The sequence below is a fragment of the Homo sapiens genome, chromosome 3 (assembly GCF_000001405.40).
Source record: "Homo sapiens chromosome 3, GRCh38.p14 Primary Assembly".
NCBI classification, from domain to species: domain Eukaryota; kingdom Metazoa; phylum Chordata; class Mammalia; order Primates; family Hominidae; genus Homo; species Homo sapiens.
Window position 1 is genome coordinate 85,816,889 of NC_000003.12, and position 27,602 is coordinate 85,844,490.

The following is a 27,602-nucleotide window of genomic DNA, read 5'->3' on the forward strand; positions in this document are numbered from 1 at the left end:
ATACTAAATGTTTTTTCACCCTCTCTTCAGGAGATATTTCTTCACTATTCATACAAAATAATACAATTTAGAAATACCTACTTCTAAATAAATATTTGTAATGTGCCATTTTAAATTGTGTGAGCATGAAAATTACAAATTAGGTTAGGTATTCTACATTTCCTGATTTATTATTTCCCTGCAGGCTCTTGTGAGCCACCCTTGGAAACAGCAGTAAGCAAGCATTTTGCAGCTCTGGTGAAATGTAGGAGGTAGCGTTATTTTAGTACCAAAGTGTGGGTATTTTTAAGAATCAAGTCTCCTGGTTTTACACCTTTTAATGTTGAGACTAGCAAGTGGACTGAAGTACAAATGGAAAGTAGGGAGGTGAAATACTGAGTGATTGCTTTGAGTTTTCCATATCACTCACTTTCACATTTTAGAAAGAAGGGTAGTAGTTTAGAAAGAATAGCAGCAGTGCAAATCTATACATAATATATTGCATTTGGACTTTCAAAGTCCCATCAAATACACATAGTCCACCCTTCTTTTAATGGTGAAAACTGCACTCAGTGAGATTGAATGGGCTATCTCTAAATAGTGAATTTTGATAAAAATATTGTCTGGGTATTGATAAAAATGTTCTCCTGTGGGGATGATGATCAGTTATTTGTCACTTATTTATTTCTTTGCAACTTAAAATCTAACCTCATGACCTTCTGCAAACATTAGTTAGTTGTTCAAAATTTATAAACTTGGTAGTCAGGATAGCTGCACTTGAATCACAGTTCCATCGTGGATTTGTGTGTGATCTTGAACCGACCTTGACTGATTGCATAAACCAATCTCAGTTCCAGCTTGTAAACCTTCTTGAAGTGGAGCTTGCAGTGAGCCGAGACTGCACCACTGCACTCCAGCGTCGGCGACAGAGCGAGACTTCCTCTCAAAAACAAATAAACAAACAAAAAAACCTTCTTGAGGACAATGAGTTTTGAAAGGCCACCTTATCTCATGTCTCGGTGTGTAGGCTGAAACTCTTATCAGAATGTGTTTTGAGATTTTTGAAACATTGGAAAATAAATGTTACATTAAACAAAATTCAAAGCAAAACAAATCATAAGCCTATCATTTAAGGTCTTAAGCAGTTTCTATCTAGGAAGTTGAGATCTTATATACTCCTTTTAGAACAAAAATGGCTGTGTTGTGGGCAAATACCTGAACTGGGCCTTTTAGTCAATCAGACATAAAGCAAAGACCCTGTGTTCTTAGTGCTGTAACTACATTGAGGGTAACAACGAAACGGAGATTTCTAATTTGGAGATTCAATGGCTACTCTAAAGGATTTGGGGGAAAGACCTAAGTGAGGGGGAAATAATTTAAGAGACAAGGAAGAGTTCACTCCTTCCTTTCCTGACTCTGTTACTTTTCATGTTGAGTGTGGGCTCTTTTGGTGAGAAATGTATGAAAGAGGCTCTCCCACCTGCAGGGCTGCCTCTGAGTCTGTGCGACAAACAGCAGCATAAAGTGAGAGGGGGAAGCCAGCGCTGGTGCTTGACACTGGCAGCTACTTATACTGGCAGCTACTTTTACTTTGTTACCTTCTGTGTGTTGACTGGGTATCTAGCAAACCAAAATGTGCATTTCTATTTTGTTTATTACCTCCTCACTAAATACTCTCTCAGTAGTTCAAATAGTGTTTTGTAACTTCTTTATCAACTCATTAAATGATTCTGTATTATCTATAAATAATTTTGCTTCTGCCATTGAATAGCCCTAGCTATTATCTTTTATCTTAGCACATTCATCACAATATAAATTCTTTAAAAGTTAGAACACTGAAAAAAGGAAATCAGTATCTGAACAGCTATAGAAAGAGAGGCTTTGAGGAAAGAGAGGTGAAAGAAAGATAAAAATGATTTTAGCAGCTAAGGTGTGACATCATGATGGCCTGGAACAGAGCATGAGCTAAGAAAACAGAGAAAGAATGTATATTAATCAAGGTTCTCCAGAGGAACAGAACTAATAGGATAGACGTATATGTGAAAGGGAGTTTATGAAGGAGAATTGACTCACATGATCACCAGATGAAGTCCCATGATGGTCATCTGCAAGGTGAGGAGCAAGGAAGCCAGTAGTGGCTCAGTCTGAGTCCCAAAGCCTCAAAAGTAGGGAAGCTGACAGTGCAGCCTTCAGTCTGTGACCAAAGGCCCCAGAACCCCTGGCAAACCACTGGTGTAAGTCCAAGGGTCTGAAAGTCAAAGAACCTAGAGTCCGATGTTCAAGGGCAGGAAGCATTCCGCATGGGAAGAAGATGAAAGCCAGAAGACTCAGCAAGCCAGCTTCTTCCACCTTTTCCTGCCTGCTTTGTTCTATTGGTGCTGGCAGCGGATTGGATGGTGCCCACCCACATTGAGAGTGGGTCTTCCTCTCCCAGTCCACTGACTCAAAGGTTAATCTCCTCTGGCAACACCCTCACAGCCACACCCAGAAAACAACAATAATTTGCATCCTTCAATCCAATCAGGTTGACACTTAATATTAACCATCACAGAATATATATGAAAAGTTTTAAGGCAAGAAATTTACTGGGCTTTGTGATATAGTTAAGCAACAAAAAACTAATTCCCGATTTTCAAACTAGGAGCAATTTTTAGTCTAATTTTGAGTAGTCATGCAATTGATTACATTATTAAAAGATCTTAAAGCTCCCTACCATCCATTTATGGTAGAGAAGGTGTCATCAAGGAAATTAATTATAATTCTGAGTTTCTGTGGAATCCTAAGTTTACAAATTCAAAAGAAATTAATAGTCATATTAATTCACTATATCATTACAGTTTGATGTTATATGCATGACAGTAATTAAGATTCATTTATTCATTCAGTAACAATTATTAAACTGCTTTTTGCAGTTTTTCTAGGCGCTTGAGATTTATCAGAGGACAAAACAGGCAAAACTCTGCCTTCATGCAACTTACTCTCAGATGGGAAGAAACTGATCATAAACAAAATAAATGAGTGAACATATGGTTTGTCTGAGAGTGCAAAATTCTGTGAAGAAACAAAACTTGGGGAAGAGAGATAAGAAAAGCTATTTTAAATAAATGTGAGAGAAAGCTTCATGAAGGTGACATTGCAGCAGACACTCATATAAGGACAGAGAGGTAGAAGTGTCATGTCTCATCCTTTAGAAGGATAGTGAGCCAAGCAGAGAAGCAGCCAGAAGTAAAGACACTCTGAGCATGTTGAAAGAAGAGCTCAGCCAGCGTGAGCAGACCAAAGTGGATAAGAAGAATAGAGGAGAGGAAGGCAGAGGTAGTGGGATGAGGAGAGTGATCAAAGGGGCCTTGTCAGCCATAGAATAATTCTGAATTTTTCTCAGATTGAGATGAGAAACGAGCAGAGAGTGTTGATCATGGGAGTTAGATGATCCTATAAACATTTTCACAGTAACACTCAGGCTGTTATCAGAAAAGTAGACTATGGGGAAGGGAGAGAGGATCAGAAGCAGGGAGACCAATTAGAGAGCTATTGCATTAATCCAAGCAAAAGATGAAGTTGGTTTGGATCAGAGTTAGCAATGAGGATGATGAGAATAGATGGAATGTTCTGTGTATTTGAAAGTAGAGCAAATAGGACCAGCTGATGGCAAGAATGTGAGGTTGAAGAGTGAAAGAGGAGTCATGGATGATTTCATGGCTTTTGACTTGAACACTTGAAATAACAAACTTGAGATGGAGAAGCTTGCAGGAGGTGAAGGTGGTGATTGTTTTGTGGGAAGGTTTGGATTTGTCCTTTTGAGCTTATTAAACATACAAGAGGAGATTACATGATAGCCAATTGGGTATATGAGTCTGGAGTCCACAGACAAGCAAGTTAAAGATCTTAAATACAGAGTAGATATGTATTATCAGGCTTGATGGCTTAAGAAGATCTAGGGAAAAGGAGTCCAAGGACTGAGTTCTAGGATCCATCAGTAACCACAGGTTAAGGAGGTGAGGGGGAGACAGCACTTGAATCATGAATTTAAATACTCTTTTTATTTTTAAAAATGTTTACAAAAAGAGCTTTCCAAATATTGTGACATTTGACTTGCAGAATTCTACTTCTGAAAAGCAGCGATAAAACTACGTTGGCTATTGTTTGTCCTGCAGTTACAAGTTGCAAGAGTTTTGACTTTCATTATCATCCTTTGATGAGTACCTATCCTTATTATACAAATCCAGAAAAAAATAATTCTATTGTGGTTCTCTGCATACAATATGATTCCTCACGCTTGCCTTTGGAGATGAAGTTTTCTCCTTCAAGCATGCTTTACCTTGTCTTGTTCAGCCTCAGAATCCCAGATAGCAAGACAAGAAAGCTTTGCTCTCTTTTCCAGGAAGATAGTTAGCAAGAACAGGGAGGGCAGGATCAGACATCAATAATCTTACTAGGGGAATGGCATTTACCTCTAGGCCACCAGAGGGCAGGGCATCAATCCTTCATCTGTCCTGGGTATCTGCAGAAGCCTCTAAGAACACCTGCAAGTTATTTTAAGTCTATATCACCCACTTCCTACTCTTATTCATATCACTGAAGAAAACAAAGTGGAAACAACCAGAACCAAAGCAAAATGCTCCCTAAATCCTAGTCCTCCTTTAGCTTAATCTACTTTTTTTCCTGGGACTAGAAAGAAAGGGGGCTGTTTGTTTTTGTTGCATACACAAGAAGTTAGGGTATACACTCTGTATACATCAGACTGTATCAGGAACTGTTTTATCTTCTATGCAACAAGCATTTTTCTGAACAAGGTCTAGGTGTGGAGCTGCAATGGTGATCATGACAAACTAACCTTATTCATGGAACTTTGTCAGTACTTCTCAAATCATTTTTGAGGGCCATTTTTCTCTATATATCAAGCACAAATAATGCTTTTGTAATGTACAATAAAATGAATTACTATAAAACAAAATAATAAGGCATTCAAAATGCAAGTTTCAGCTTATTATTAGGTTCTGCAAATATAACATAAAAAATAAAAATGTATGTATTTGTTGAGTGTGGATATATTGGGAATAATATAGATAATTATTATGCTTATAATTTTTTGTTATTCTGGAATTAGAACTAAACACAAAGTTATGAGAGAAACAGTAATTTTTCATATTAAATGTCTATATGCATATTTAGAATGAACATCATATACATCAAATATTTACATTTTAATGTGGCACATGCTTGGTTGTGGCTTATTAATTTATATAATCCCTTTGGATTGGTTACAGCATTTCTTGCTGGGAATAATGTATAATCTGAACTGTTTCCATTCTTTGTATTAACATCAGTTATAGCAGAGAAATGAATCTTAGAGAAATACATTGGCAGTAATGGAAGAAGAGATTTTGAAGCAATTTCAGCAAGTTTAGGATATTTATTTTACAATTTTTTCCAGGGCCAGGTGCGGTGGCTCATGCCTGTAAACCCAGCACTTTGGGAGGCCGAGGCAGGCAGATCACTTGAGGTCAGGAGTTCAAGACCAGCCTGGCCAACATGATGAAACCCCGTCTTTACTAAAAATACAAAAATTATCCAGGCATGGTGATGTATGCTTGTAATCCCAGCTACTTGGGAGGCTAAGGCAGAAGAATTGCTTGCACCTGGGGGGCGAAGGTTGCAATGATCTGAGATCACGCTACTGCACTCCAGCCTAGGCGACAGAGCGAAACTCCATCTCAAATAAATAAATAAAATAAAATAAAATAAAATTGTATCCAAAAAAGGCAAATTTTACCACATTTTCAAAAATTCATCATCAGTCCTGCATTAGTAGCCTGCTCCAGTATTTATCCTATAAAGTTATAGTTAAATACATTTTTATGAAAGAAATCAACTCAGGATCCATGAATTTTCATATGTGGATCTTATGTGACAAAATATAAATTCAAAATGTTCTATCAGTGTTCTAAAATGGTCTATGATAACTTTTCCTAAATGTGCGATATCAAGATCATCACTTTTTCACTGATTATTGTACTTAATTTATGAACCATGTCATAAATAATTGTAGAAACTCTATTATTCTAAGCTTCTAACTTTTGCTTGGTCCTTTGATCCTACCTGCCATTGCAAAGCATGTTGCATTCATTCCTTGCAATCAGTAGAAAGATCTTTAAAGATACCAAATATATAAGATAAGTGAAGGCTGGCTGTCCAACCTACATATTTAAAACTTTGGAATGGGCTAGTTTCTTATCTTGTATAAATAAAAGTTTTTTGTTGTTCAGATATTCTCAAGAATTTTTCCATGTGTAAACTTGGTGCCTCAACATGCAGTATAGGTGCTATAATCAACATCTATGTTATTACATAATAAATATAACAATTTTGTATTTAATGAATTAGCTTTTACATACATAAATCACAAATTTTACGAAATAGCTAAGAACCCTGATATTTAGCTGATACTTCTATTGTGCACTAAGGTTTTCTTGACGAAGGAAGCAGTACCTTGGTTTATGGTCTATATGAACTCCTTAATCAGACTACATCAAAATATTTCCCTGCCATGGTAGCTTGCCAATCTACTTCTAGAAAACAAACAAACAAAAACAAACCACAAACCACATTACTGATTTCTAAGCATTTTTCTCAATGTGTGTATTTATCTCTTTGCTGGTGAGTAATAAACTGTTGTGGACTGGCAGTTTGAGGAGCACTGTTATGTGGAAAGTAGAGATAATGTCTACTTTGCAGAGTTGTTGTTAAGATTATCCATAATCTTCACAAAGTGTCTATCAAATATTATCACAGACATTTAATTTACGAGAGCTATTAATTTGCATTGTACAATTATTTTTCATTTTAAGCAAATCTATAGTACAAAGAGAATAAGTAACAGACTGTATCTGAACTGAAAAAGTGGATGACCTTGTAGAGAAATTTATCTGTCTGTTTATAGCTATGCGTCAACATTTTGATATATAAAGATACAGGTATGTAAGTATAATAGAGTATCTCCTGCAAGAAAAACTAACAAATTGTTAAAGAGTGGTCAATATATAGGCAGAAAAATTACAGCCCATCCGCGAGATTAGAGAAAAAACAAAACAAAACTCAAAACAGGAGATGAATTTAGAGATTGCTTCAAAAGGTGACAGAACAAGTTACTACAGTATGAGACAGTGCTAAAAGCTTTCTATGCATTTCGCTGTTGTAATTTTATTCTGGGACGTTTTTCACCCAATCAAAACGTACTGGAGAAATAGTGGATAGTTTATTTTACTTGAGGATGCTTAAAAAGCACTAACTCATATTGTACTCACAATGGAGATACTGCTATGCACATTTTACATACAAGAATATTGAAGCAGAGGGAAACTTAGTAATTTGCTTAAGTTGCAATGTCCTTGGTGGTGCAAGGATACTAAGCAGTCTGATGTCACTCATAGCCTTTGCTTATCCATGGTTTAGAGTGCTGTGTCATGGATAGTAAATGGGAGCTTAAAATGGAAAACTTAGTGTAAACTTGTGTGGGAAATAAAATGGATAGAGATTTTTTTTTTAAGAAAAAACAAAAAAACTCAAGGTGAGTGCACAGTGCACAAAGTGCTGTGAAAGGTGATGGAGGTAAAGAGGTATGACTCTTTTGTCACTGGGAGGTCTAGCTGGCACTGTTGTCTCTGAGGAATTAAAGCTACTTGTGAGACAGAGAACCAAGTGTGCAATCAGGGTGGAGTCTCTTCATTCGTGGGTTGAGTCTAAAGAGCACATGGAAAGGGAAAATCACTTGTAATGTTTAAATTGTTCAAAAGTCCCTAAAATTGCCCCCAAGCATGAGAAGTACATCCCATATGTCATTTCACTTTCTGGGTGTTTATTTGCTTGCTGAGTGGAGTGGCAGTCTATCCTGTATGGAGCAAGGTCAGGTACTTCATATGAGAAGCAGTAAGGATGCAAACTAAGAAGTGGAGAAGAAGGAAATAAAAGGCAGCTGTGAAAAAACTAAAATTTTTAAATTTATATTGGCAATAAACTGGTTTATTGTATAATCAGGGAAGACTTGAGTAGGGGTTAATGATAACCAATGATGACTTAGTTCTCAAAGCTCTGTGAATGTGATGCCCAAAATGGAATGAAGGACTTCGGGTGGAGGAGATAAATGTGAGGAGAAGGGTTAAAATGATAAAAACAGAGAATAATGAATTTTGGAAAGGAAAAGTAATTTATATTGAAAAATAATAATATGCATACACAAATGCATGTATTATATAAATTGAGGTACAGTTGATCTAAGCATCTGAGAACAGCATAAAACTGATAAGCATTTAAAGTACAATTACCGTGAGAGTGTGTAGTCAGATCACAGTAGAAAACACATGGCACCATCAAAAGGTTCAAGTTTAGAGGGCTTAATGAAGATACTATATTACAAAGATGTGGGAAGGCTTAAAGGAACTAACAAAAGATGAATAGCTCATGGACCAGAAAAGGTGAGGAGGTATTACTTACTATCCCTAAGGCTGATATGGCATGTGGCTTCAGCTGTAATCAAAACGTGCAGCCACTACCAGAGCCCAAATAAGTATTCCACCTTACTTTTCTACCCTACAATATGCTGCCATTGCCTTTCTTTGGCTGAACCTAATTGTAAGCCAGAGGACAGGGGTGCTGGGAAAATGCATTCCATAAGGATCAGTTGCTCAAGACATAGTGTAGCCCATATAGAGTGCAGGGGATGAAAATGGCAGAATCTGACATAGCCACTATGAGTAACAAAATTATTCTCTGAATAATATTAAAGGGCTATCTGTAGGATTTGGAATACATATTTTATTTTATATTTTCTAAATTAACTTTGTTTTTTAGTCACTGTGTACCGATTTTTTAAAAATGTTATGACAGCCACTTTTTAAAAATTTCGGTAGCTTTTGGGTTACAAATGTTTTTTGTTTACATGGATGAATTATATATTGGTGAATTCTGAGATTTTAGTACCTGTCATCTGAGCTGTGTGTATAAATGTTTTCAAATACTAGGTCAGGGATGAATTCTTACTGTTAATGCTTTAATCCTTTTTAGATGTTTTCTTTGTTCTCCATAAATGTAGATTGTATTGAAAATAATTTTGAGTATAAACTATTTCATTTAATAATTGTTATGTTTTACAATTTCAGTAATATCTCTGAAAGTAAAATAATCTAGCAAGGAGATTAGTTTTGTAATTGTATCATGACAGTATAATTGTTGACCTTTTATATCATCACATGCTTTTATAGAAATTCAGCATAATTTTTAAAACAACTTTATCATTCTGATATGACTCATTTATTATATATTTTTCAAGTACATTATCAATCACTTTACTTGGAGCATTCTGCGATACCAATGAGTTAATCATGGCATATGTGCAATTACTGGCATCTGTTACTCTTTAATTTTTGTGTAAAGCTGCCCACTGTATTATTTAATGAACAAATGCACTTATCCTTAATCATTACTTTGCACTCAACTTCCATTAAAACAATGACAAATCAGACATTCACATTTCAATCATTAAAATAACAGTAATGAATTATTTTCCTGGTAGTAGGGTTTTTATAGTTGTTTTTCTTAAAATGAATTTTTATCACTTTTTTTATGGTTAGCATAGATGCAAATGACAGAGATTGTTTTAATAGGCAGAAGTTAAGAGAAAGTGTGAAATACTTCCTCTTTCTCTCACTTGCAAGATGAAAAGATTCCCCCTACCGTTAGCAAATGATAGTGGGGAAATGAAGGATAAGGGTTGGAGAAGAATAAACATTTTTCTTTGAATTTAACCATGGGGAATTTCTGGAAGATTTACAACCATATTGGTTCATTGATTACTCAGATGGCAGACAGATATTCTCAGTGTGTGCTCCCTTTTCCTAATGAAAAAGACTATTAGCCCACCTCAAAATGTATATTAAAAGTTTTATTTTTGTTAAACGGAGAGCTCTGTTTAACCTATTTGCAGAATCGGGCCTCTACTTGAAAACAGCAATCACTTTTGAAGAAATATCACTGCAATTACAAATCAAGTGGAAGTTAGAATAGATATAATGCTGTTACATTCTGATTACAAGATAAATGTAGTTAGGAACTGTTGAGTTCTTTGTGATCCAGAAATTATGTAGAAAATTCTAATTTTACTAAGTTACCCAAATTGACCCCAAAATGGATGGTCACATATGCAGGCTAGAAACTGAATCAAGGATGCTGAAAAGCACCATTAATACTGCCTTTTTCAATGACCTTAAAGAGAGGGTATTAAGAAAATCACACTAGGTTTCATTAAGATGAATAAAATTGAACATTTAAGTAAAGGAATAATCATTTTTGAAAAACATAATATGAAAATATATGACCATAAAATCTTGATAGCTCTCTAGCAGTGCTTGTAGAAATTGCAGTCTCTTTTCAAATGTTATAGTAGGTGGCAACTCAGTAGAAAATTATAATAGCTGTCAAAATTCGTATACATTTTATAAAATATGCATTTTGTTACTTTTTCAGGTGCTTGTAGTAATGTATATACACTGTGTTGCATAGCGCGGTGTGTAGATCCATAGAGACAGTATGTTTTCTTTAGTATCAAATAACTTGACAAGGAAATTATAAAATTCTTTAGAAATTCAAGTGATTCTCAGTAAATTAAGCAATGGGGGATTATTCTATTTATGGAAAGCTTAATCATTTTCTATCTCTTTTATTATTTTAGAAATTCCATTTCTTTTATTGTGTAGGAATCAGACCAGAGGCTACTAGAGAGACAACTGATTAGAAAAGTTCATGAGAAAGGTTTCAAAAGGAAAATCTTCCTGAGGCTTATTTTCATATAAGTCTTTAGAAAGAACAGTTAATGCTGCTGTGCTGTATTTTTCCCAAATGTATTGTTTTTAACTCATAAAAATTTTTCTCTCATATATCGTACTCAAAGTGAATGATTCAGGTCAACAAGATATTTCTGTTCCACGATGTCATTCATGGATCCAGGTTCTTTCTATCTTGTTGCCCTCCCATTGCCCGGGCTCTGTTTTCATTTGCTTGTCTGAAGTTGGTTATGGACAATTCCATGTTTTAGTTTATGAAAAGAATAAGAGGCAGAATAGAGAAGTACACATTGGTTACCTCAATGCCCAGTTCCAGAAGTGGTGCATATTACTTCTAGGCCACAGTAGCTGCAAGTGAAGTTGGGAAACACAGCTTAGGTGGGCAGGTACCACTTACCATTTATTACAATGCAAGAAGAGGAAAATTGAGGTTAGTAAACAATTATTAGACCCTGACGTGCTATCCAAGCTTCTTGTAGGTTTGGCAGAGATTTTAAAGGGCAATTTAGAAACTGTTTGAACTTTCATATTTGCCATAATCCCAAACACGGGTAAAGCAGTTGTAATATATAATATCAGTCGCTTCTTTGTACTTATATATGGCTCATAGGAAAGGTAAGCATCTGTGTTCTAAACAAAAATAGATTTTTAAAATAGGAATTTTAAAACAGGAATAATCTTTGAACTGTAGATTAAGAAAGAACACCATATGGGAGAAAAGAGAAAAAAGACTTCTAGGCAGTTCATAGATTATACAGTTATAATTTTCAATGACACATATATTACGTATGACCAGGTAAGGCCTCCCAAATCTACCACAGTTAGCACATCAGAGTTCAAAAGTCTACTCAGCTAGAAACTTTATACCTATGTCTATATATCGTTAAATGTGGCTATGCCTCTCCTGTTTTCATTTACTTATATCTTGTATAATTCCTCACTCTCTCATTCTTTGTTTCTCCCTGACTTCTATCATCATTGATGTTGTTCTTTCAGCTATCTAACTTTTTTCTCTTAATATTCCATTTTAATCCCCTAATTTTCATCCTACAAACCATATTGTTTTCTCCTTCAGTGCATTGCAAGTTCTGTGAGGGAGATAATAATGACCATGTAACCAGCTTTTGCAATACTGTACCTGACAAATGATAGATTCCCAGTAAATCCTACTAAATGAGAAATGAGAGAAAAATAGAAAATCTGAAATATGAAGTTCCTTTCCTACATTATCTCTTGAAGTGTAAATCTCACTTTGTAAGTTCTTATTTTATCTGGGCTAAGTTGGGCCCAGAAATTATTTTATTTGACCATAAGTATACTTTAGTGTCTAGCATCACCCTATATAAAAATAATAAAACTATATCTCTACTTCTTGTAACACTGATTTATAAATGGTAAGTAATTCAAGATTATGTGTGTGAATAATTTAAAGACATACTTTTAGAAGCAGAACAAAGCAGAAAGATGAGTAATTATATCCTAATTTCAGGTTTCTTTAATAGTAGCCATTCAAGATAATGTCTGTGAAGGACTGGCTTTCTCTGCCAAACATAAGGATCCACCAACTGATCTGCTTTTTTTTTGCTTTTATTATTTTTAATTGACACATAATAATTTTACCTATTTATGTACTAGAGTGAGATATTTTGATACCTATATATGATGTGTAATGATCAAATGAGGGTAATTAGCATACCTATCACCTCAAACATTTATCATTTCTTTGTGTTGTTTTCCAAATGTAGTTAACTATGGAAAAAAATCACTATACATTTATTCTGGGCACTTTAAAATAAAGATTGTATATATTTAAGTTGTACAACATGATTTGATATAAGTATGCATTGTGTAATGATTACCACAATCAAATTAATTAACACATCCATTTCCACCCATGCTGTACCTTGGATCCCCAGACCTTGTTCATCTTCTAGCTGAAAGTTTCTATTCTTTGACTGACATTTCCCCATTTCTTTGCCCCTTTCCCAGTCCCGGGTAACCACTATTCTCTCTGCTCCTCTGAGTTCAAACGTGAAATTTCACATATAAGTGAGATTACATGGCATTTGCCTTTCTGCGCTTGACTTACTTCACTTAGCGTAATGTTCTCCAGGTTCACTCATGTTGTCCCAAATGGCAAAATTTCCCTTTTTTAAAAGGCTGAACAGTATGTGTATATATACCACATTTTCTTTTCTTTATCCATTTATCCATTGGTGGACTCTTAGGTTAATTTTACCTCTTGACTATTGTGAATAATTCTGCAATGAACATGGAAGTGCAGATATCTCTTCCACATACTACTTCAGTGTCCTTTGGATATACCCAAAAGTAAGATTGCTGACCCATAGGGTAGTTTTATACTTTTCTTTTTATTTTTGAGGAATCTTCACACCATTTTCCATAATGGCTTTACCTGTTTACATTCCCACCAACAATGTACAAGTAATTAATTTTCTTCACACGCTCGCCAACACTTGTTATCACTTCTCATTTTGGTAATAGTCTTCCTAACATGTATAATGTGATATCTCATTGTAGATTTGATTTGCATATCCCTGGTGATTAGTGATGTTGAGAACGTTTTCATATACCTTTTGGCCATTTGTAGGTCTGCTTTGGAAAAATTTCTATTCAGGTCCTTTGCCCACTGTTTAAGAAGATTATTTGTTTTCTTTTTGCCATTGAGTTGTGTGAGTTCCTGATACAATATGGATATTGACCCTTTATCACATAAATGGTCTTCAAATAGTTTCTACCATCCCATAAGTTGCCTTTCATTTTATTGATTCTTTCCTTTACTGTGCAAAAGCTTTTTAGTTTGATTTAGCTCCACTTGTTTGTTTTTGCTTTTGTTGCTCAGGCTTTGGTATCGTATTCAAAATATTCATTATGAATACCAAGGATATTTTCCCCTAGATTTTCTTCTAGGAGCTTTATGGTTTTAGAGCTTACATTAAAGTTGTTAATCCATTTCAAGTTACTTTTGTATATGGTATAAGGGTCCAATTCTTTTGCATGCTAATATCCAGTTTTCTCATCACCATTTATTTTCATTTTTATTTTGTTTTTGGTCAGAAGATGTCTTTGTGCATTTTATTTATTTATTTATTTATTTATTTATTTATTTATTTATTTATAAACTTCTATTACAGGCCCAGGGGGTACATGTGCAGGCTTGTTACATGGATGAATTGCATGCTGCTCAGGCTTGGTTTACAAATGATCCCATCTCCCAAGTTGTGAGCATAGACCTGATAAGTAGCTTTTCAACCCTCGCTCCCTGCAACCCTCCCACTTCTAGTGGTCCCCGTTGTCTCGTGTTCCCATCGTTATGTTCATGCGTACTCAGTGTTTAACTCTCACTTATAAGAGAGAACCTGTGGTATTTGGTTTTCTGTTCCTGTGTTAATTCGCTTAGGATAATGGTCTCCAGCTGCATCCATGCTGCTGCAAAGGACACAGGTTGATTCTCTTTATGGTTGTTTATCATTCCGTGAGGTACATGTACCACATTTTCTTTATCCAGTCCATGGGCATCTAGGTTGATTTCATGTCTTTAGTATTGTGACTAGTGCTGCAATGAACATATTAATACATATGACTTTTGGTAGAATGATTTATTTTCCTTCAGATACATACCCAGTAATGGGATTGCTGGATAGAATGGCAGTTCTGTTTTAACTTCTTTAAAAAATCTCCAAACTGCTTTCCCCAGCAACTGAACTAATCTACATTCCCACAAACAGTTTGTAACGGTTCCCTTTTCTCTGCAACCTTGCCAGAATCTGTTATTTTTTGACTTTTTAATACTAACCATTCTGAATGGTGTGAAATGATATCTCATTGTGGCTTTGATGTGCATTTATCAAATAATTAGTGATGTAAAGCATTTTAAAATATATTTTTGGCCCCATGTATGTCTTCTTTTCAGAAGTGTCTGTCTATATTCTTTGCTCCCTTTTTTAATGGGTTTATTTGCTTTTTGCTTGCAGAATCGTTTAAGTTCCTTATAGATTTTGGATATTAGACTTTTGTCAAATGCATAGTTTGTGACTATTTTCTCCCATTCTGTAGGTTGCCTGTTTACTCTCTTGATACTCTCTTTCATTGTGCAGAAGCTCTTTAATTAGGTTCCACTTGTCAAGTTTTGTTTTGTTGCAATTGGTTTTGGGAAGTTATAAATTCTTTGCCAAGGCTGATCTCCAGAATGGTGATTCTTAGGTTTTCTTCTAGAATTTTTATAGTTTTAGGCTTTACATTCAAATCTTCAGTCCATCTTCAGTTGTTTTTGGTATATAGTGAAAGGTGAAAGGTAGGGGTTCAGTTTCACTCTTCTGCATGTGGCTAGCTAGTTATCACAGCATCATTTACTGATTAGGGATTCCTTTCCCTATTGCTCATCATTGTTGACTTTGTCAAACATCAGATGATTGAAGGTATTTGGCTTTATTTCTGGTTTCTCTATTCTTTTCCATTGCTGTGTGTGTCTGTTTTTGCTGTTTTGGTTTCTGTAGCCTTGTAGTGTAGTTTGCAGTCAGGTGATGTGACAAATCCAGCTTTATTTTTTTTGCTTAGAATTTCTTTGGCTATTCAGCCTCCTTTTTGCTACCATATGAAGTTCAGGGTAGTATATCCAGTTCTGTGAAAAATGATGTGTGTAGTTTGATAGGAATAGCATTGAATCTGTTGGTTGATTTAGGCAGTATGGCAATTTTAACAATATTGATTCTTCCAATTCATGAGCATGGGATGCTTTTCATTTCTTTGTATCATCTATGATTTCTTCATCAGTTTTTGTAGTTCTCTTTGTAGAGATCTTTCATCTCCTTGGTTAGATCTATTCCAAGGTATTTTTTCTAGGTATCATGCATGGGATCATGTTCTTGATTTGGCTCTCAGCTTGAACATTATTGTTGTATAGAAATGCTACTGATTTTTATACATTGATTTTGTAACCTGAAATTTTCCTGCAGTCATTTACCATTTCTAGGAGCCCTTTGATGGAGTCTAGAGTTTTCTGGGTATAGAATCGTATCATCTGCAAACAGAGATAATTTGACTTCTTATTTTTCTATTTGGATACCTTTTATTTCTTTCTCTTACCTGAGTGCTCCGGCTAGGAATTTCAGTAAAGTGTTGAATAGGAGTGGTGAGAGTGGGCATCCTCATCTTGTTACATCTCTTCAGATGAATGCTTCCAGCTTCCGCTCATTCAGTACAATGTTGGCTGTGAATTTGTCGTAGATGGCTGTTAGTATTTTGAGGTATTTTTCTTCAGTGTCTGGTTTGTTGAGGGTTTTTATCATGAAAGGATGTTGAATTTTATCAAAAGCATTTTCTGCATCTATTTATCAAAAGCATTTCTGCATCACATAATTTTGTTTTAAATTCAGTTTATGTGGTGAATCACATTTATTGATTTATGTATACTAAACCATCACTGCATCCCAGGAATAAAGCTTACTTAATCGTGGCGAATTAGCTTTCTGATGTGCTGCTGGATTTGGTTTGCTAGTATTTTGGTGAGGATTTTTTAATCTATGTTCATCAGGGATATTAGCCTGCAGTTTTCTTTGTTGTTGTTGTTGTTGTTGTTGTTGTGTCTTTGTTAGATTTTGGCATCAGGGTGATGCTGGCTTCATAGAATGAGTTAGAGAGGAGTCCCTCCTGCTCTATTTTTTCAATTAGTTTCAGTAGGATTGGTAACAGTTCTTCATACATCTGGTAGAATTTAGCTGTGAATCCATCTGATCCAGGGCTCTTTTTGGTTGGTAGGTTTTTCATTACTGATGCAATTTCAGAACCTGATATTGGTTTGTTCAGGATTTTTTTATTTCTTCCTGACTCAGTCTTGTGAGGTTGTGTGTTTCCAGAAATTTATTTATTTCCTCTAAAGTTTTCAGTCTGTCCCAGCACCATTTATTGGAGACATCTTTTCCCCATTGTGTATTCTTGGTGCCCTTGTCAACGACTAGTTGATGATGTCTGCATAGATTCCAGGGGTCTACATGTCTGTTTTATGCCAGCAACATACTATTTTAATTAATATAGCTTTGTTACAGACAAAGCTATATCATCATCATCAGAAAACATGATGGTTCCAGCTTTGTTCTTCTTTCTCAAAATTTTTTGGCTCTTTGGAGTCTTTTGTTGTTTCATATGATATTTAGGTTTTTTTCCATCTGTTAAAAATGCCATTGGAATTTTAATGGAGATTGCATTGAATCTGTAGATGGCTTTGAGTAGTATGAACATTTTAACAGTACTAATTCTTCCAATCCATGTACATGGGATGTATTTTCATTTATTTGTTGTCATTAGTTTCTAGTGGGAAATTTTATAGGATTTAAGTGCCAACCATCTATCAAATCTCTAATCTATTAAGACAACCAAAATTCAAAAATAAAGTTCTTCTTATGATTGTCAAAGGTCTCTTAACATGAAGACAGAAATCATGGATCTACTATTAACTCACTTTTTAAAAATTTGGATGCTTAAAAAGAGAAAAAAATTATTATACTCTTATGGTAAGATTTAAATATTCATAGTGTTATGTTACCTGCCCTTAAGAATTATAAATCTCGAAAATGCAAGCCAAACACAAATAATATTCTATATATAAATCAAAGACTGTCATGAAGCTTTTAATTGGTTAGCGTTTTTAACTACATGGCCTTAAGAAAACAGGCTATAGTGCAACCAGAAAGAATACAAGTAAAAAAGTGTCAACTAATAAGATAGACATGAGGGTATAAGTAGAAAAATCCACTTTCTACTTCCTAATCACATTTCCTATGTATGGACTTGTGTTGTTACAATATATCAAAATATTCTGATCTGCTTTATGTTGGACAATTATTTTTTGAGAAATAATGATATAAACACTTGTTAGTCCCATAATTTATGTTCTGAGTTTGACTTGTAGTTATATGCTTTGTGCAAAGGAATCTGTTGAATCTACTGGACACATGGAGAACAACATTTCCAATTGTAGTCTCATTTGCTGGGTTAAGTTTTCCTGTATCTTCTTGGGGAAAAAAAAAAAAACACGTTGGCCTTGGGTGCATAGTAATAGAATAAGCATTCATCAGGAGATTGTTATATATCACAAATGGGGTTGAGTTGTCACAGGTGACATCTTTAATTTCCTCAATTTGAGTGTAAAGGCCTAGAGAAGTTAATTGTTCAGAACTCATAAATGACACAGCTGAAATCTAACTAGATTAGCCAAGAAATTAAAATTATTGAGTTAAATATTCATTCAATGTGTGGCTATATGTGAGTGTGCTTGCACACGCATGTGTGTGTGAATGTTGAAATCAGAAGTATGACGGTCTCTTGATCCACTGAAATGATAAGATAAAAGAGTAAAGAAATGTGTAACTTCTTGATGGACATCCAACTTGCAGTGAACAATGCAAAATTTTAAAAATTTAAATAAGGCTTTAATCTGCCACAGCTCTGGTATTTTTGCTAGGGTTGCCTTTCCTTTTTCCTCACATACTTGTGATTAATGTTTTGATAGACATATTTTGATAGCTTTTAAAAAGCTACACTTTATAATTTGAAATGTGTGAGAGGTAGCTACTGTGAAAACAGTTTTAGCTTCTTTTTTTTTTTTTTTCCTGACTTGTTGGCCTTATCCTGTTAATCACTGTTTATTCTGAGCTGTAAGGAAATAATCAAAGAATGCCTAGAAGTCAAGCTCACATGGGCATTTTTCATTTTGGAAACTTCAAGAAGCTTTGCTATGTACTGAGTCTATAGGCAAAACAGAACTACAGCTCTTAGTTTGAATTCTCAACAAATTTTGCTTCCCTGATATATCAAATATACTTTAGAGAACTGTAATGCCTTTTGCTTGTTTTTATTTTTGGTGTTTTTCCTAAAGAGCCCCATGTACTTTATCTTTCATTGTTTTTCTTAGAAAAGAAACATGCACTTTAATTCCCAAAGGGCATCTTTGAGACCTTGTTTATGATACAGCAAGTATTTTATATATGTATGTGTATGTGTATATATATATATATCTTGCTATATGTATATAATATATAATATAATATATATATATCCCTTGCTTGCAAAAAACAGACTCAGTATAGACTGATTTTATTATATTATATTCCATCTAGTGTCAGAGTATCTCTAACTAATGAAATTTCTCATTAATTAGGTCTTTTCATGTTACTCCCTTTATTTCTACTGAAAGTCACCATATTTCTAGTTAATTCCTGGCTATAAAGCATCATATGTGTTTAAAAGCCCTCAATGAAGAAAATATTTCCCTATGACTTTCATACAGGCTGCTATTTTAAATGTCATAATTGCCCACAACTTGTCAGTTTTGAAAAAGCGTTTTAGTTTTGAGCTGCCAAATGGAATAAAAATGATGTTATTGACTTGTAACAAAGGGACTAAAGCACTCTGATAGCATCTGACCTTTTATCATCACTTATTTAAAGAGCTTTCAGGGGAGGAAAAAAAACCTACCTTAAAATGTGCAGTAACTTGCTAGTGAAGTGCTTTTTCTTAGTGTAGTGAGCTGAGAAGAGTTCTGGAAAAAAGCCCAGAGGGCATGGTTGTAAAAATGACCATTTGCTACTGGTGCAGATAATAATTTATTCCAGTGAAAGAAAAGAAAAAACTGTGGTCACATATGGCTTCAGGTTTTGATTCTTTCTATCTTCTACTGACTGCTAACAATAATTAAAATTTTTTAGAAACAACCTGATCAAGGCCTAGAAAACCAGTCTCCATCTTCAATCAATAGTGGAGGTCAGGATTAATTTGTTGTTTTAAAATGTGGAAATTACTCTCTGTGTTTGAGAGCAGTATGTGGCACCTCTTAACTATATGACAAAAAGGGCCTTGAATTTCACTGGATGTGTGTGGCATAAAGGATATCTATTTGGAGAGATTTAATGGGACTGAAATAGAGGGTAATGGATACTGAATTGGGGTAATTTATGTTGTGCACTGAAGAAGATATCCAGGGAAACTTCAAAGACAATCCCTCCTGCATGACTAAAACTGAAAAACATTTCAAAGCTCTCTGCCTCTTACATGAAACTAAGTATCAATCTATTGGTTTCAGAATTTATATATTTAAAGATTTTGATACGAGCAAAATGGCATCTATACAGCCATGTGAGTGCCTGGCAAGCTAAAGCACAAGAACAAACATAGTTCAGATAACAGGCAAAGTTATTTCAGGTGGCTTCTAATTCACCATGTGAGAAAGAATATGAACTTGCCAATTATGAATTACATAGGAGGGATCATTTTCTTCTGTAGTTGTAAAAATGAAGATCTCAGTTTCCATACGATATAGTTCAATGAATTTTTTTTCAAATGGCAGCAGTTTTAATAAGGGACATTCCATGATCTGAGATATGATTAGGAATGTGTACAAGTCATGTTCATTTTAGAATATTTCTCATCGTCCTAACAACACAAATTAAAATCAGTATGGCTAACTACTTCATGTGTTATAATGTTTGATGAGTTAAATCTGGGGATCTCTGCTTCACTTCTTGAAATGTATAAATGCCACTAAAATAAAGGGAAAATAAGCATGGTAACTGTTAACTGGATAATGTAATGTTTTCATGCTTCTCAAGTAGAACTTTCTAAAGTATTTTCAATAGTTTTAAGTGACTATAATATTAAATATAAAAAACATTCTCCTTTTACCTATAATTTAATTAGGGGGAAAAAAACAGTTCCAGAGAGATTTCGCAATATTAAGGAAGAAAAATTCATCATGGTGGGTTTAACCTGTTAGAATTGAGGTAGAGCTAAGGAATCAGAGGAAAGACACTTTGTACAAAGTGGAGATTTTTTTTTCCAATTGTGTCAGTTATGTCTCGTCATCATTCTTTGGAACTGACTGACATGCTTCAGCAATCATTTTTGACGTTCAATACACATGAGAATTTTGGGCTAGAACAAGAATCTTTTCTTGAAAATATCTACATGAACTCTGACAAACAATATACTGCTTAAAAGAGCTGTACTCTGTTACTATTCTGCAGGTATATTAATTTAGAGTATATTTTTACCATAACACATAACTTCTAAAATTAAACTCCACTGTAAGATAAAAATTATAATCAAAGTGTGTTGCTTCCTATTCTAAGTAGTATTAGGAAATTATTTACCTGAGATATTGTGATAAAAGTATGCTGCATTTATACTAATTATCCATTCAGTAGCTTCCTCCATAGCCCTTATAATGCATATTCTACTGTTATAAGCACACCAATATGAATTCACTGGGGCATTATCACTACCATACATAAATCAGACGAAATATTTGGTCATTTTGATTATCTTCAATGTTTGTTTGTTTTTGACAACAATATTTTAGAATCACTTCATCTATACATACTCAACTCAAATTTTAAGTGGTTATCTTATTAATAGTGGTTAAAGAACCATCACTGGGGCTAAAGTCCAGTGTGTGGGATCACATTAAATCACTTGCAATCTATGTGAATTTAAACAAGGGGCTTGAATCTTCTGCATCTTTAAAAGGAAACATAAATCAAACTCACCTCATAGGTCAAGACCACCTACATAAACTGTGGGCTCAAGAAAAAATAAAAATGTAGGGCCCTTACTCAAACATCATGACCAATTTCAAGTTGGCAGTAGCAGAGCATTAATCACTGATGGCAGAGCTTGAAGCCGAGATTGGAGCTCTTCTAAACACAGAGCCTTGTGCAACCCACCTTGGAAGCTGTTGTGAAGAGTAAGTTTATAAACTGCTTATTAGCACATATTATGCACTCAAAAATAATTTTAACAATTATTTTCTACAAAATTTTTATTTGAGGTGCTCTGGTTATAATATACTTTTTTGGAGGAGAGGGGAGGACCTTAACTTAATCTCTGCATTTTGGTTTTGTTTTGAAATTTTAAATAGTATTTTTAAAAACCCCTTAGTGAGTTTGATATGCAGCCAAGGTTGAAAAAATCATCAGATATTTAACTAAATTACTTCTCACTGACTCTGTACTGTATCTTTTATATTTATACAATATATAAAATACCAGTCATAGATTGATTTTATTTACCCAGTTACAATAATAGAATGGGGAGGGAATTATGAAAGTAACTAAAATGACTTGGATGATTCAAAGGTTAATAAAGGTTTATTGTCCTTAAGGAAATAATAACCTACAGCTCAAAATGTAATTGAAAGCCTCTTACTGCAAATTCACTTAGGGGTGCTTGTTAAAATTTCAGATGTTTTGGACTTAGCCTGACCTACTGAATCAGAATCTTGAGGTGGGATGGAGAGGGAAGAACATGTGTTTTGTCAAGCCCCTCTCTTTAACATATGCTTGGAAATTTGAGAGCCTTGGTTTAATATTACAATGCCTACTTGTCACAGCTATTCTTCCCTGAAGCAAATTTAACAGCCAAGACTGTAGTACCCTAATTAACATTGCTGTTCACCTGGTGTCTATAACTCACTGTGTAGCATAGGGCCTGAGAGGAATAAAAAAGCTGCTCCGATTTTTTTCCCTTGCTTTACTGGCAAGGTCAACCCTCATTTTAGTTATTGAAATAGTATAATTTCTTCTCTAGTCTGTTAAAGATGACTATTCTGAAATATATGAAAATTCCTATTTTTATATCCCCTTGTCCATTTTGTAATATTTATAATACTCTCTCTGTCTATATATTTTCCTCTGTACTTAGATCTTACATAAAAGGCTAATCACACATAATAATAAACATGAAAAACATATGGTTATTATTCTTTGCCATTTTTTTTGGTTTTAACCTTAGGACTATTTCTTTGTACTAGCTACTCTGCTGCCTACGATAGAGAGCTCAATGAGTGCACATTGCAATTGGTGTACTTCTTACCTCAGGCACACAATTTAGCCTTCTATATAATTGGCATTCAGGAAGATGAGGGGAAGTGGGACTGAAAAAGGAAAGGCAGTCATATCTCATAATTGCAAATATGAAAGTCAGGGTCACCCATTTCATGGTGAGAAAGAAAACATCAAAATCCTATGTCTTTATATTACTTATTCAGGCAAATACTGAATTTAGTTACCACATGTTAGACTAAATAAATGGCTATGTATTCTTTACAGATCTTATAAAATAGTTCATTCAGTAAAAAAGAACCATTTTATCATTGCCATCTGAGAGTTCCGAATAATTACGGGTAATAAAAGAGGAACAATAAGTGAAAGCATCATTTTTTGGCCATGTCTTATTTCTCACAGGGACATGTTCATTAACGAGAATAAAGATTCTACTCAGAATTGTATACTTTAAGTTTCTCTTTATTTGATATATAATTTACCAGTTCACTCTCCTTCAGCTTTTTTCTGTAATTACTTGAATTTTATTCAACATGCGTCCTTTTTTGACAGCCATGTTTTTTAGTTCAATAAATGTTATCAAGCATTCTTTGACTGCTCCTATTGCATCAACTGTAATTAGCTTTTGATTACTGTTAATTTCACAGCATTTTCCCTTTAATAAGTACATCAAAATGCTTTCATTTCTGTTGCAGCAAGTTTAATTAGTTTTTGAACCATGTTTCTGTTTTTCCTTCCATTTTTAGAAAAAAATGACAACACCTACTTTCTTTGTTTCTATGAGGATATCCATGACTTACAATGTGGTGTTCACCAAAAGCGGTCACCTAAGACTTACAATACTAAATTGTGGTAACATGTAGCCTTTTTATTTGCATCAAGAATATTCTCATGTACTCACATACTTATAATTCTGATTATTTAAAAAATATTGTATAATTTTACTTTCAGCTTTTAAAGGTGCTAAATGATTTATTTAAAACAACTAGGATTCTAATTGATCCCTCAATTCAATTAAATAAGCTGATTCACACTCCATGTATTCAATTATATGACACAGAATACCTGTATTCTCTTTTCAGAAATCCATTGTTCATTTTGTGTTAGTGAACCCAACTGTTACTTGCAGTATCCCTTAGGATAAAATGCTACAAGGTATTTTTCAGTGGCCTATATCATAATTAATGCAATTTTAACATGCAAGATATATTTATGGCTTTTTAATTATATGGATAGAACTTTGAAAATAATTATATAAATTTATATGAAATGAAACATTAACTCTTATTTATTCATGTGACTTGAATTGTAAACTGGGCATATGTAGGGACTTAAAACTTCTAAATACCACCAAAAAGAAAACCCAAAAAATAAGCTGAAAGTAACTACATATCATATTTATTACTACTGAACTCAAATACCAGTGATTCTAAATTGGTCTATAGTATTCAATATTATAACTCACTTTATAAGACTGTAATAATTGAAATAATAATATAATAATCAATATTACAGAATGATTGGAGGGCAGTGGAAGAAAAGTAAATGCCCAATTAGAGAATTGATTATATTCAATATTATATTATAAACTCTTGATAACATGAAACTTTTCAGATAGAAATTTGACAATTTCAAAACTTAAAATTGAATATTACGGGTAATGGTATCCTTTAGGTGAATATTTAAAAACACTTTCAGTGCCAGGCTAGAATTACATATCAGGTAGCATGGGGAGGTAGAGGAGTAGTGTAATATAAGAGAGGTAGAGAGGAGTCACGAGCCCAGTGCCTTATGAATTTAGAGTACCTTGCTTAAAAAAGATGAACCCTATATTTTAAGAAGCTTAAAGTTTATTTAGTCCTACCATCTTTCTGATATTACTTTCATTTCCATATTATTATTCTAAATGTTCTTTCAAATTTTGTTTACTATTCTTGTTAGAGGAAACTCCCTATATTCAAAGGGAGTCCACACTGTTTTCAGCTTGTCCTGAAGTACTTGTTTTAAACTAAAGTCTGATAGCTTGTTTCTTTCACCCTTGGGTTTTAATTCTACCCAACCAATCCAGGTTTGTGGCTGTTGGGGTGGACGAGTAGTGGACACAATATCTGTAGCACACATAATTAAGGTTCAAAAAACATATTTCTTTGGATTAACAGACTTTATTCATACCTATATAGCAACAAATATGCTATATAGCAATGAGATGCCTGCATATAACATTATTCTTTGTTTAATATTTAATATTAAACAGAGAAACATAAATTTTATCATATCTTTCTGTGACTGAATTTCAAATGACTGTAATTTGTCTAATTTCCTTGGTATGCCTTTATTGAGAATCCCTTATAATATTATTAAAAACATTTCAGGGCTTGTGATTTGTAAAATTATAGTTTCTGTCTTGTAACTAATTTTAATGTATTTTTATTTTCTATAACAAACCCCTTTATCATGCTCACATTACTTGTATGTTATGCTTTTACATTTAAAAAAATTATTTGCTTTAATGCATAAATTTTCCAATCCTGCGGCTGCTGCAGAGGTTAAAAAAGTCTACCAAGAAAACATTCACCATGAACTCTCGTGATTAGTTTCTTTGTGTATTGCTCCAGAGTAAAACAAATCAGCACTAGAAGGAAAATCTGTTCTGCGAGGTCCCACACTGCTGGTCTAATGACCTATCCCCACAAGAGGATTGAATAGAGTAGATCCACTGTGGCTTCCCAAATGGCTGAGGCTGGCAGCCTCTGGAGATGAGGAACAACAGCTGAGGTGATAGAGAAAATAAAATGTTCTGCTTGAATGCAAGTTATATTTGCCTGTCTTCCTCAACCCTCTTTCAAGAAATGTTGCCATTTCAGACCAGGACAGCTGCTATTTTTTTCATTTTTAGTTTTTCAGTCAAAGCTTCATGGAAAAACTAGACTTGGATCAATGAGACTTATCTTCTTGGGCCAATTAATTTCCTGTCCACAGTCTCTTAAATTCATCTCAAATCTAAACTTCCTTCAGAAAGCTTCCCTACCGATGAGGTAACATCACATGTCTTCTTGGCAAGGTTAGGAAGCAGGGAAGCCATATGTCCACACCCGCTTCCTTCTCTGCAGATCTCATCTAGGATTGAGGATAAAGAGAGGGTGTCCCCTATATTTTAATTCAACTTTTCATCTGTTTATTAAACTTAGTCTTATGTCTTTCTTTCAGTTATCATGATTTTACCCTTACTGTTAACTTCTTATAGGAGACATCTATGTCTCATAAATAATTATATTAAATTCATTAGATATTAGATTCATAAATTAGTAGATATTATACACAAAAGTTATTTAGCATTGATTCCTATACGTTAGAGAGCAGATTAAAAATATTTAAAAAGATACACAATTGTGGACATGCATTCATATAACTGCCAGTTACAGGTAAAAGCAAAACATAAATAAATAATTGTAATTATATACTAGTAGTACCTATGTATATTGGCAGAGGAAATAGAAAAAGGAAACCGTATAACCATGATTAAATGTTTAGCATTGTCATGGCTTTGGAAGCTGCCATGGTGCTTAGATACACTAGACACATCTTTTGAAAAATGCATTTTGGAAAAACATGGAATAATAACTAAGATTCTTTCAGTTTTGAGATTATATTTAGAATCCATTTATGAAATTGAAAAATCTTATTTCATTTAGATAATATTTTGCTTTCTTTGCTGACTTTAAGTGCATGGGAATCAATAGCAGAAACATCGTCATCTAACCCCAGCCTTAGTAATGTATCTTTGTCTTTAAGAATACGGTCTTTCTCTCTCTCTCTTTCCTCCTACCCAACCCCGCCCCCCAACCTTTTCTTTCTCTCTTTAGTGGAAAGTTACAATAGGATATATGGTGATTCTTTAACTTTTATCATTAAGCAAGATATTAACTACATATTTCAAACTTTGTCTTATATTTTTTATTTAAAGTAAGGTGGAATACAAATTTTTTCTCAAATAAATATTTATATGAGGTTTTGTAACCATCCCATTATGTTGATTTTCAATAGTAATAAATATCTAATTCAATATTCTCTCATCACTTTAATTAAATGTGAGTAAAACAGAAATAAAAATGTTAATTAACTATATGTAAGATTATCATTAATACATGTTTAAGCTGGCTTTTCTCCAAGCTCAGCAGTGCATTTGAAGATCACGTTAATGCTCCAGGTAAACAACAGAAGCTAAAACACCAGGAGAAACTCTAATGCAAATATGTTAGACAATGTTCCAAATAGACTTGAGCAAGAATTTCTATTATAAATCTTTTCAGAAAGTGCAGTTTCATGTGAGTGTATGTGTGTGTGGGGGGGGAGCGGTTACTAAAAAAACAAACCTGATGCTCTTAGTTTAGATATTACTAGCACCCAGGGAGTGCAGACTGTTTAAGAATTCGGGTTCGGTAGCCAGGCTTTACGGATCGGTCCCAGCACCACTTCTTCATAGCCGCATCTCATCTGATAGGGGACTGAAGCTTTCTAAGCTTTAGTTTTCTCAGCTCTCCAATACAGATAATAATTTTAATAATATCTTCCTTACAGAGTTCTTGAGAAGAATATGTGAGATAATCCAGCTATCAGAGATTTCTGATCTACAGAGAACCTTTTTTCAATATTATAGAATAATAGATAATTAGAAAAGATCACCAAATTTGTCATCATGAAGAACAGGTTGGGCTCGATGGACTAAGTTTAGAGTTCTCTATATTTTACCATACTTTGAATTTTTTGTTATAATATTTTTTTATTTAGTTCTTTTGGAATAAAAACAAACCCTTTTTTAAAATGTGTTTTTAAAATATGTTTAAATTTCCGTAGGAAATATATAAGGCATATTTGCTGCTGTAGCTTTAAGGGGATTGATACAGGCACAATATATACCCCTAAAATGAAGAAAGAA

At 34.1% G+C, this 27,602-nt stretch overlaps 1 protein-coding gene and 1 long non-coding RNA gene across 18 annotated transcripts in view; one reads left to right on the forward strand and one right to left on the reverse strand.

Annotated features, from left to right (window-relative positions):
- Positions 1-11,162, reverse strand: part of CADM2-AS2 (CADM2 antisense RNA 2) — a 28,064-nt gene extending 16,902 nt beyond the window's left edge. Inside the window, exon 1 of the long non-coding RNA NR_046752.1 lies at positions 11,113-11,162. This is a non-coding gene — a long non-coding RNA (CADM2 antisense RNA 2). The remainder of the gene's footprint in view (positions 1-11,112) is intronic.
- Positions 1-27,602, forward strand: part of CADM2 (cell adhesion molecule 2) — a 1,115,441-nt gene that overhangs the window by 857,900 nt on the left and 229,939 nt on the right. The gene's annotated exons all lie outside the window — the stretch shown is intronic.